Raw genomic sequence first — 12776 nt, forward strand, 5'->3', positions numbered from 1 at the left:
AAAATAACTAGCTACCTTGGACTACATTATCAAAATAGACACTCTTAGGGCAAAGAAGGTAACCTCTCACCATACCCTACATTAATAACAACACATCTGAAATATTGGATTCTAGTTATCACATTTTTAAGAGGTATGCTGGCAAACCAGAATACATGCAGGAAGGTAGCAGAATGGTGAAAGCCCTTAAAAAAAAAAAAAAGCACATTACAGAAGAAAACCATTAAGCTTAGCATGTTGAAAGAGATAAGACTTTTTTAAAAGGGGTGAGGAAGTGTACATTTCCTTCAAATATTTTTAATAAGCGGTCTGCAAAAGACAATATTTTTTTGTCATAGTAGTAGTTTTTTATTCCACTTAACCTCAAGGGATATATTAAATTTTTTTAAATCACTAATGACTCTAAACAACCATAACTTAATACTGGGGGGTTTAAGTATTTACTACCAACGTTATAATCGGGTTCAGAATTCTTTTTACTTGCCCAGGTTGATAACAAGTATCAGATTCCATTCTACACTAATTATATCAAAAAAAGTACTTACCAGCCGGGTGCGGTGGCTCATGCCTGTAATCCCAGTATTTTGGGAGGCAGAGGCAGACGGATCATGATAGGATATCGAGATCATCCTGGCCAACATGGTGAAATCCTATCTCTACTAAAAATACAAAAAAGGCCGGGCGCAGTGGCTCACGCCTGTAATCCCAGCACTTTGGGAGGCCGAGGCAGGAGGATCACAAGGTCAGGAGATCGAGATCCTGGCTAACACAGTGAAACACCGTCTCTACTAAAAATACAAAAAATTAGCTGGGCACGGTGGCGAGCGCCTGTAGTCCCAACTACTTGGGAGGCTGAGGCAGGAGAATGGCGTGAACCCGGGAGGCGGCGCTTGCAGTGAGCCGAGATAGCGCCACTGTACTCCAGCCTGGGCGACAGAGTGAGACTCCATCTCAAAAAAAAAAAAAAAATACAAAAATTAGCTGGGGGTGGTGGCGTGTAACTGTAATCCCAGCTACTCGGGAGACTGAGGCAGGAAAATCGCTTGAACCAGGGAGTCGGAGGTTGCAGTGAGCCAAGATCGCGCCCAGCCTGCACTCCAGACTGGCAACAGAGCCGTCTTTAAAAAAAAAAAAAAAGGTAATCACCCTGCCCACCAGTAAATGCATTCCTAACTTTCAGTGGTAAATTGCTAACATTAAAATCAACAATCATAACTCTTTCAAGGAGTATTTTTAAAGTCACTCTATAAAAAAAAGTCAGTCTCTCAATTTGAATTAACATGATACTGACTACTATTCACTATAAAGTCTTTTATAAAATAACCCAAAAATGAAAATAATTCTGTTTTCTGATCCTGGTGAGATCCCACAAATAAATAGGAAACTTAAAATTTAGGCATGGTTCACAATTACATATATGTCTGTATTTTTATTCTTTTATTGATAAAAATACTCCAACACAAATTACCTGTGGTATGAAAAACAGACTATGGGAAAGTAATTTTGTAGAGAGATGAAAAAATATACTGAACATATTCATAGCTCACCTTTTGAAAGCAGCTTCCTGAATTTCTGTGTTGCTGAAAGCTGTTGCTCTGGGCTTTTGGAAAATATCATTTCAATCATGTCAGAAGTGATGACACCACCCTGCGATCACAAACAAAAAGAACATATAATAAATTATCACCCTTAATTCAAAGGAAAGAAAGATAACAGATATCATGGCCAAGTTATTAAGTTAATCATACTTCCCCAGAAGTTACATAAAGGTAGGACAATCTTTACATATAGAAACGTGTAAGATTATTAATAATATAATGAAGCCAAATTCTTTGTCTATCATTAAAAAGCTCACAGTAGAAAGTGATCTTACTAGTAAATAAGACAAGGAGCTTATTGCTCTTCCCCTCCTTGCTCATCACATAGCTGGCTATTCTTTCTTATCAAAATTAAATGTTAAGTTTTAAAAGATGGCTTTTCAAGACCTCCAAGCCTAAAGTAGCCACTTTATCTCTATCACAGCACCATATTTCAATCGTATGCCCCAGCCCTTATTACACTCCCAGATATTTTTCTGTGTTCCTCCAGTATACTGTAACTTCCTTGTAAGCCCAAGACCCTGTCTGTCTTACTCTATCACTAAGGGCTGGTGTACTGTAAATGCTCTGCAATACTTATTGAGTGAGTAAATAGAGTGGTCCTGTATAAATCCAGCCACTGCCAAATTCAACAGCTGACTCTTAAACTTATTTAAAATTTCTTTCTTGTTTTATTAAAACTTTCCAGTTTCCCACTACCTTCTTGCTTTATTAGAATGTTTCCATTTCCCACCATAACTCATCCCCAGTATTAGCAGTTAATTTTCTTCTCAGGGTCATTTGTCAGAAAGAAACAAAGTTCTTATTTCATGAAGGGTAGCAGTCAACAAGATGAATTGTGAAGAAAGCTGCACTAAGCTGTAAATGCTAGATGACTGGTAAGCAATACCTAAGAATCCTCATAGGGGAATATATGACGCATTCTACTCAAGAATCAGAAAAGTAACTATTTTCAAAATTGCAAGACTGATTCCTAAATCAAGGTTTCTATATGATTTGTTATGAATATGTTTGCATAAACACATTCATATATATATATACACACATTAAGCAAATATCTTTTTCTTCCCTCTCTCATCCTCTTATAGCAAGCTGTACTGACTTTACATTACACTATTTAAGTATTGTTAACTTTACATTATAATATTTAAGTCACAGGCTATCAAGGACAGGAGTGAACATCACCCAAAGATTTTGCATCCTCTTCCGCAGAAGGAGTTAGTAAAGATGTGCCTCAACTTACAATGAATGGGGTTATGCCCCACTAATCCCATCATAAGTTGAAAATATTAAGTAAAAAGTACACTTAATACACCTAACCTACCAAACTTCATTGCCTAGCCTAGCCTACCTTAAACATGCTCAGAACACATACATTAGCCTACAGCTGAACAAATGATCTAACACAAAGCCTATTTTATAATAAAGTGGTTGACTATCTCGTGTAATTTACTTAATACTGTACTGAAAATGAGAAACAGAGTGACTGTATGGGTATTCAAAATACAGTTCCTACTGATTGCATATTGCTTTCACACCACTGTAAAGTTGAAAAATCCTGACTTGAACCCTCCTAAGTCAAGAACCATCCATACATTTTTAGTTGCACAAAGGAAAGTTGTAATCTGGCTGGGTGCGGTGGCTCACGCCTGTAATCCCAACACTTTGGGAAGCCAAGGCGGGTGGATCACGAGGTCAGGAGTTCAAGACCAACCTGGCCAATATGGTGAAACCCTGTCTCTACTAAAACTACAAAAAAATTAGCTGGGGGTAGTGGCGCACGCCTGTAGTCCAAGTTGGCCTCATCCAATCAGTTGAAACCCTTAAAAGCAAAGACTAGGTTTTCTGAAGAAAAGGGATTCAACAACATCAACTCTTAACCTGAATTTATAGTGGGCCAGTGTGCCCTACAGATTTCACACTTGCCAGCTCCCAAAGACACGAGCCACTTTCTTAAACTAAATTTCTTTCTCTCATTGGTTCTGTTTCTCTGGAGAACCCTAATACAATCCATAAAACACTTTATATTCACTTAACACTCTCTTCTTAAAAAAATTGGAAAGACTGGCTTTCTGAAGGGCCTAGAAACTTTCATCACAAAATGATGGCATTGGCTATGTCTGTATGAATTCCAAAGGAAATAATACTACCCTCCCAACTCTCAAAGAAAGCTGGTTCATGTAAACTGGAGATCTATGAAATGAAATAAAAATAAAAACTACAAAATACTATGAATAGTATGCCACCATTTACCAAAAAAAAAGGTGGGGGAGAGGAGAACATTTTAATATACAAAAGTTCTCAGAAAGAATAAATAGGAATTTAGTAATACTAGTTGCCAATGGAGAAAAATACTAGGTGGCTAAGCGGAAGAAAGATTTTTCTTCATTTTTTTTAATTGTACTTTTTTTGTTACTACAAACAACAGTACCTTTTAGGAGATAATTTTCTTTTTAAAAAAACTGTGTGTGTGTACACATATATATATATGTACACATATATAACCTATTTTTAAAATTACGTAATTACAATACTCTAGAAATCTAGATAGGTCTAATCCATACAAATAAAGCATGACTTTTATCTCTTCATGTTAACTTCAAAAAAGTAACAAAATGGTTTACAACAGAAAAATCCAAGAGTTCTGATGTGGAATCAAGTTTTTAAATCATACAAACAGGTCAATTTTGTAAATCAATAAAAAATCATTATTTTCTTTAAAGTATCTCTTATGGCTTGGTGTGATGGCTCAAGCTTGTAATTCTAGCACTTTGGGAGGCCAAGGCAAAAGGATCACTTGAGGCCAGGAGTTCACCTGGGCAACACAGTGAGATCCTGTCTCCACAAAAAATTTAAAAATTTGCCAGTCATGGTGGCACATGCCTGTAGTCCCAGCTATTTGGGAGGCTAAAGCAGGAGGATCACTTAAGCCCAGGAGTTCGAGGTTGCAGTGACCTACGATTGCGCCACTGCACTCCAACCTGGGCAACACAGCAAGACCCTGTCTCTAAAACATAAATAAATAAATAAATAAATAAATAAATAAATAAATAAATAAATAAGGTGTCTATTCTTATTCAACTTTTAAAGAGTAATTTTATCTTATAATTAGCTTGTTAAGTTTTTAGAGCAGAATTAATCTTTATAATTTAACTGCACTTTATCCAAAATATAATAAACATTTAATGAACCATGAGATTAAGCATATTCTTTTTAAAAATGAAATGCCAAGTACTTTTTGTAGCCATCTAACCTTTTTTAAAACTCAAAAGGAAATCTACATCTCATATCTTCATCACAAAAACACTGAAAAGAGTTCATTATCTTACTGGTGCCATCTCCATGTTACTAATCTGAGCCTCATGAAAGCCTCCATCTGACATAACTTCTTCTTCTGTTTCTTCTTCTGCTGTAGCAACATTTCTCCGCTTGAATAACTGAAAGATAAAAGATTGGTAGCAATGTAAATGTAAATTCTAACACAAGGGAGTTCAACATTCAAATACTAGGCACCCCATTCAAAGTGAAGTCTTTGAAAATCATTTTTAAAATTCTAAAGCTGTCAGCTTTTACTGATGAGTAACCATTTCAGATTTCTCCATAGTCTTATAATCAAATATAATTAACTATTACAACATGCTATAAACAACACTTGATAATGTAAAACTTACTAAGAGAGGTCTGACACTATATGACATTAAAAAAAAAAAGGTTGGAAAAAGGAGCTGGGTCATGCTTGGCCATTTTCCTCATCCCTTTATGTAAAGTATACATCAGGACAGTCCTAACAATGTACCAAGGAAAATGAAAATAAAAACTATGTTCAAATGACTTAATACTTCCCTCCTAATCTCCAAAGATGGTGGACTGTGGCTTCTGACCTTCCCAACCTATCCAGCAACCAGTGGCAACAAATGATGACTGCTTAAGCACTACCTTTAAAGCAGCTCCGTTAATGTGTATAGGCAAAGGAGACTAGTTCTCTCCAAAGTCAGCCAACGAGGGTGATTACCATTATATCCTTATGAATCCTGGGCAGCACATTTATTCATCAAGCCATGATGGAGTAACAGTAACTTACCCTCTCTCACGCTGAACAACTAAAAACAGACAAAATACATAAAATAATGTTTCAGCCATTGGACAATAAAAACCACAGAGTAGTGATATCTCAGAAAGAAAAACCCAAGATAAGCCCCAATACTGCCTCAGATTACTATGCAGACAGTTCCAGGCTGCAGTGCAGGAAAGGTAAACTCAACCAGAGTTTAGATGCTCCTTGGATTTGAGAAAACACAGTTCAGAGCTGAGAAGGCCAAGAGACCTAAAATTCATAACGCAGAGTACAACACAAAAAGAACACCCAAGATCTACAGGAGGTTCTCTCTGAGATTTAACTTAATACTAATCAGCACATAATCATATTCTTTCAGAAGACAGAAGCAGAGACAGTACTTCTCAACTCATTCTAGGAGATCAGCATTACTCTTAATACCAAAACCACCTACCAAAGGCCTATTTAACAGTAGTTTCTTTTACCCAGTACATGTCCAGCTATCAAGAAAAAATTACAAGGCATACTAAAATATAAAAAACACATTTTGAAGAGACAGAGCAAGTATCAGAACCAGATTCAGCCACGGCAGTGATGTTGAGATTATCGGACCAAGAATTTAAAACTACGATTAATATGCTAAGGGCTTTAAATGGATAAAGTGGACAGCATACAAGAACAGATAGGCAATGTAAGGAGAGAGATGGAAATTCTAAAAAAGAACTAAAAAGAAATGCAAGAGATCAACAACAACAGAAATGAAGAATGCCTTTGATCGACTTTTTAGTAAACAAGACACAGCTAAGGAAATAATCTCTGAGCTTAAGGAAATCTCATTCGAAATCTTTAAAACTGAAAAGAAAACAGAAAAAGGACTGACACAAATAGAACAGAGTATCTATGAACTGAAACAACTACAAATGGTATAATAAACATGGAATGGAACTATCAGGAGGAGAGGAAAGAACAAAAGAAATATTTGACACAATAATGACTGAGAATTTCCCCCAAATTAGTATCAGACACCAAACTGTAGCAGGCCATGTCTCATTAATGCAGGGCTCCATAACAACTGTTTCAGTACTGACTGACTGGTTAAGTTAAATATTAAAAGCTAAAAAAAGCCAGTGCCCTTATACAAAGGCTGGAATCTAACAAAAGCCCACCAAGAGTTTTGCCTAGGCCTTTCCTGGGCCTTAAAGCATAACAAAGAAATTCCCCAGGCCTCCACAAACAAGTTTATTGGATGTCTGAAAGAACTCCCCAAACCTCCACGAGCAGGAGACAAGATAAGGGTAATCACCTCAGCACCTAGATTAAGTAAATTTACTGAGACTCCAGAGGAAGGTCTTCAAGACTCAGACCTTAGTTACAGATTAAAAGAAGTTTCATCACTTATGTCTTTAGATGAATACACACTTACACGCAGACATATAGCTTAAAAGGTATATAATATCTGGAAAACTTTGTAATTTCGAGTTGGTCTGGCAATAATTTCTAGGCCTTCTCCCTGTAACCAGGTACAAAAATAAAAACTCTCTTCCTCCCCAGTTCATCTGCATCTTGTTATTGGGCCATGAGAAACAGCAGCCCAACCCAGTTTGGTCTGGGAACAAAACCACTGGAAGCCCAGAGAACACCAAGCTGGACAAAGGCCAAAAAAATCCCACTACACCTAGGGATATCATTTTCAAACAACAGAAAATCAGAAATAAAGGAAAAACAATCCTAAAAGACAAGGGTAAAAACACTGTACTTAACACATGAATAAAGATAAGAATGATAACCACACATGCCAGAAGAAAGTGAAGTGAAATATTTGAAGTGTTGAGAGAGAAAACCACCAACCTAGAAACTCTGAACCTTGCAAAATCATCCTTCAAAAGTGGAAACAAAAATAAAGATTTTTTTCAGAATACTAAGGAAATTTATTGTCAGTAGACCTGCTTTGCAAGAAATGTTAAACGAAATTCTTTGGCAAAAAGGAAATGATACAGGTCAGAAACTTGGATCTACATAAAGGAAGAACATCAAAGAATGAATAAGTGAATGTAAAATTAAAACATCTTAAAAATTGATTTAGCAGGTAAAATTTTGTTTAAAATAGCAACAATGCATTTGATTATGTAAGCTAATGTGTATATACATAAGATTACAAACATTTCTGTATAAGCTAAATAAGTAGGCGGGGCACGGTGGCTCACACCTGTACTCCCAGCCCTTTGGGAGGAGGCGGCGGGTGGATCATGAGGTCAGGAGATTGAGACTATCTGGGCTAACACAGTGCAACCCCATCTCTACTAAAAATACAAAAAATTAGCCGGGCGTGGCAGCGGGCGCCTGTAGTCCCAGCTACCCAGGAAGCTGAGGCAGGAGAATGGCGTGAACCCGGGGGGTGGAGCTTGCAGTGAGCCAATATCGCACCACTGCACTCCAGCCAGGGAAACAGAGTAAGACTCCGTCTCAAAAATAAATAAACAAATAAATAAATAAATAAATAAATAAAAATTTTTAAAAAAAGTTAAATGAGTTAACAGCAATGATACAAGGAATGGAAGGGAGAAACAGGATTATCTTATAGTAAGATACACTACCTGTTAAAAGGTATAGTGTTATTTTAAAGCAGATTTGAGGTAGTTGTAAATATACATTTACAATCTAGGACATTCTAGGACAACCACTAAGCAAAGTAAAAAAGTACAATTGATATGCTAAGAAAGAACAGAAAATGGAAATCATATAAAATGCTCAATTAAAACCACAAAGGCAGAAAAAGAGTGAAAGACAAAACTAGAAACAAAAAAAAAAGGCTAACAAATAGAAATCAGTAACAAATATGGTAAATATCAATCCAACTATCTTTGCAATTCCTTTGACTGTCAATAGTCTAAGTGCACCAATTAAAAGAGATTGTCAGATACATCTTGGAGTCATCCTATTCAGGGGTGAGGGAACTGGAGTATTATTTATATATCATCTTCCATCATTGGTTCAAGGTTGTTGGGGAATGTTAATTTCCTAGTACCTGCAACTTGTCACACAGATGCAAAATTGGAATTCAGTGGCCACAGAAAGTCCTCAGATAAAGAAATGCAGGTTCTGACATAGAAGCTGGGCCTGCATACAATGCAGGGGTGAGAGTAAGGGCAGGAAATGGAAGAGGTCAGCTATAAAATACCTTTATATTTGTCAACATAATCACTCTACACCTTTATATTTAGTCCCGCAATTCCTTGAAAGTTTGCAGTATGTCCCAAAATGCAAACTGTTTTGCTTATACAATGTTTTCCTTCACTGATTTCAATTTGACAGTTAATATTCAGTTCAATATTCTAAATAAATCGGCATTTTGGCAAAAAATAAAGACTAAAAGAGACTGTCGAAGTGGATCACAAAACAAGAACCGACTGGATGTGGTTTACAAGAAACCCACTTTAAATAAAAACACAGATTAAAAGTAAATAGATGGAGAAATATATATCATATTAACACCAATTAAAAGAAAGCGGAGTTGGCCAGACGTGGTGACTCATGCCTGTAATCCCAGCACTTTGGGAGGCCAAGGCAGGCAGATCACACGAGGCCAAGAGTTCAAGACGAGCCTGGCCAACATAGCAAAACCCCATCTCTACTAAAAATACAAAAATTAGCCAGGCATGGTGGTACATGTCTTGGGAGACAGAGATTGCATTGAGCCGAGATCGCGCCCCTGCACTCCAGCCTGGGCCACAGGGCGAGACTGTCTCAAAAAAAGAAAGCGGAGTTGTCCGTAATAATTTCAGACACAGCAGATAAGACAAGTTAAGTTATCAAGGATAACTTTTATCAAGGATAAAAATAAGGATAAAAAGACATAACAATGCTTAGCGTGTATAAGCCTAACAACAAAGTGTCTGTGTAGGCAAAAACTGATAGAATTGCAAAGAGAAATAAATGAATTCACTATTATAGTTGGACACTTCAACACCTCTCTATCAGAAACGGCCAGATCAAGCAGGGAGAAAACCAGTAAGGACATAATTGAACTCAACATTAATCAACTGGATATAATGAACATTCACAGATTATGTCACAGAAGAAATAACAGAATACACATTTTTACACTCATAGGATATTCATCAAGATAGACCACATTCTGGGCCATAAAACAAACCTTAACACATTCAAAAGAACAAGTTATAAAATGCCTCCTCTCAGGTCACAATAAAATTAAATTACAAATCAATAACAGAAATATAATTTTTAAAAAAAACCCAAGTACTTGGAGATTAAACAACACACTTCTAATAACACATAGGTCAAAAAAGAGATCTCAAGAGAAATTTTAAAATATTTTGAGCTAAATGAAAATGAAGACACAACTTATCAAAATCTATGGGATGACGTGAAAGCAGTGCTTAGAGGGAAATTCATAGCATTGAATGCATTTACCAGAAAAGACAAAAGATCTAAAATCACCTAATCAATCACCTTAAAAAAAACAGAAAAAGAAGCAGCGAATTAAATCCAAAGTTAGCAGAAGAATAAAAACAAGAGCAGATATCAATGTAACTGAAAACAGGAAATCAACTGAGAAAAATCAATGAAAAAACCAAAAGCTGGTTCTTTGAAAAGACCAATTAAATCATAAACCTCTAGCCAAGTAGACTAACAAAAAGACAGAGGACACAAACTCCTAATATCAGAACTCAAAGAAAGAAAATCACTACAAATCTCATGAACATTAAAAGGACAATAAAATAATACTGGCCAGGCACAGTATACTGGCTCACACCTGTAATCCCAGCACTTTGGGAGGCTGAGGCAGGCAGATCACTTGAGATCAGGAGTTCAAGACCAGTGTGGCCAACGCGGCAAAACCCCGTTTCCACTAAAAATATGAAAATTAGCCAGGTGTGGTGGCGGGCGCCTGTAATCCCAGCAACTCAGGAGGCTGAGGCACCAGAATCACCTGGACCCGGGAGGCAGAGGTTGCAGTGAGCCAAGATTGCACCACTACACTTCAGCCTAGGTAACAGCGAGACTCTGTCTCAAAAAAATAAAAATAAAAAAAGAATACTATGAACAATTCTATTTCCACAAATTTGATCACCTAGATAAAATGAACCACTTCCCTGAAAGCCACAAACTACCAAAACTCACACAAGAAACAATCTGAATAGGCCTGTATTAAAGAAACTGAACCAATCAACCTTCCAAAACAGAAAACACCAGGACTAGATGGGTTTGCTGGTGAATTTTATAAAACATTTAGGAAAGAAATTATACCCATTCTGTACCATCTCCTACACAAGATAGAAGCAGAAGGAATACTTCCTAACTCATTCAGTAGAGGCCAACATCAGAGTATTCCAAAACTTGACAAATATACATTATAACAAAACTACAGACCAACATTTTTTATGAACACAGGTGCAAAATCCTCAACAAAACATTAGCAAAACAAACCCAACAATGTATAAAACGAATCATATACCATGATCAAGTGGGATTTATCCCAGGTGTAAATTACTGGTCCAACATTTGAAAATCATTAATAAAATCCATCACATCAACAGACTAAGGAAGAAAAATCACACACCCATATCAATAGATGCAGAAGAAGCATATGAAAAAAAATCCAACACCCATTCACGATTTTAAAAATTCTCATTCCTCAACTTGACAAGGAATATCCAGAAAAAAACCTACAGCTAACATCATACTTAAATGGTATGAAACTAGAAGCTTCTCTGCTAAGATCAGGAGCAAGACAAGGAGATTTCCTCTCACTACTCCTTTTCAACATTGTATTGCAAGTCCTAATGAATGCAGTAAGACAAGAAAAGGGAAAAAGGCATGCTGATGGGAACAGAAGAAATAAAACCATCTTTTTTTCTCTGATGACACAGTCGTCCACATGGAGAATTCAAAAGAATCAATAAAAAAACCTCTGGAACTAATAAGCAATTATAGCAAGGTTACATGACAGAAGGTTAATATACAAAATTCAACTGCTTTCCTATACACCAGCAATGAATAAAGGGAATTTGAAATTAAAAAGTGTCATTTACATTACACTCCCCAAAAAACAGAATACTTAGGTATGAATCTAACAAAACATATACGAGATTTCTATGAGGAAAACTACAAAACTCTGATGAAACAAATCAAAGACCTAAATAACTGGAGAGGTATTATTCCTATCTATAAAGAAAGACTCAACATTGGCAAGATGTCAGTGCTTCCCAACTAGACCTATAGATTCAATGCAATTACAATCCCAGAAAGTTATTTTCTATCACCAAGATGATTCTAAAATGTATATGGAAAGGAAAAAGATCCAAAATAGCCAACAAAATATTGAAGGAAAAGGACAAAGTTAGAGGAATGACTCTACCCAACTTCAAGATTTATCGTAAGCAAGACAGCATGGTATTGGCAAAAGACTAGACAAACAGATCAATGAAACAGAATAGAGAGCCCAGAAATAGACCTCATAAATCTAGTACAATGATCTTCAACAAAGAAAAGGATAAAATACAATGGTGCAAAGGTAGTCTTTTCAATAAACGGTGCTGGAGTTCAACGAAACACTAACAAAATTCAACAAACAGCACATTAAAAAGATCATTCAATATGAACATGTAGGATTTACCTCAGGGATACAAGGATGGTTCAACATACGCAAATCTATGAATGTGAATCACATTAACAGAATGAAGGACAAAAACCTATGATCATCTCAATAGATGCAGAAAAAGCATGAGACAAATTTCAACATCCTTTCATAAAAACTCTCAACAAATTAGGTATAGAAAGAATTTACCTCCACACAATAAAGGCCATATATGACAAACCAACAGTTAGCATCATACTAAACAGTGAAAAGTTGAAAGCTTTTCCTCTAAGATCAGAAACAAGACAAGGATGCCCACTCTTGCCATCTTCACTCAATATGGTGTTGGAAGTCCTAGCCAGAGCAATTAGGCAAGAGAAAGAAATAAAAGGCATCTAAATTAAAAAGGAAGAAATGAAATTGTCCCTGATTGCTGAAGACATATCTTACATGGAAAGAACTCTGAAGACTCCGCCAATAAACTGTTAGAAATAATACATGGATTCAGGAAAGTTGTAGGATATAA

At 36.3% G+C, this 12776-nt stretch overlaps 1 protein-coding gene across 4 annotated transcripts in view; it reads right to left on the minus strand.

The window, feature by feature from the left end:
- KPNA1 (karyopherin subunit alpha 1) overlaps positions 1–12776 on the minus strand; it is a 93038-nt gene that overhangs the window by 40493 nt on the left and 39769 nt on the right. For all 4 annotated transcript variants that reach the window (NR_026698.2, XM_005247437.5, XM_024453514.2 and 1 more), the window contains exons 3-4: positions 4928–5035; positions 1548–1647 (exon numbers count right to left, since the gene is read on the minus strand). Coding sequence is in view for 3 of the 4 variants with exons in the window: in XM_005247437.5 (XP_005247494.1) it covers positions 1548–1647; positions 4928–5035 (208 nt within the window). In the remaining variant the exon portion in view is untranslated. The remainder of the gene's footprint in view (positions 1–1547; positions 1648–4927; positions 5036–12776) is intronic.

Source organism: Homo sapiens, chromosome 3 (genome assembly GCF_000001405.40).
Source record: "Homo sapiens chromosome 3, GRCh38.p14 Primary Assembly".
NCBI lineage: Eukaryota > Metazoa > Chordata > Mammalia > Primates > Hominidae > Homo > Homo sapiens.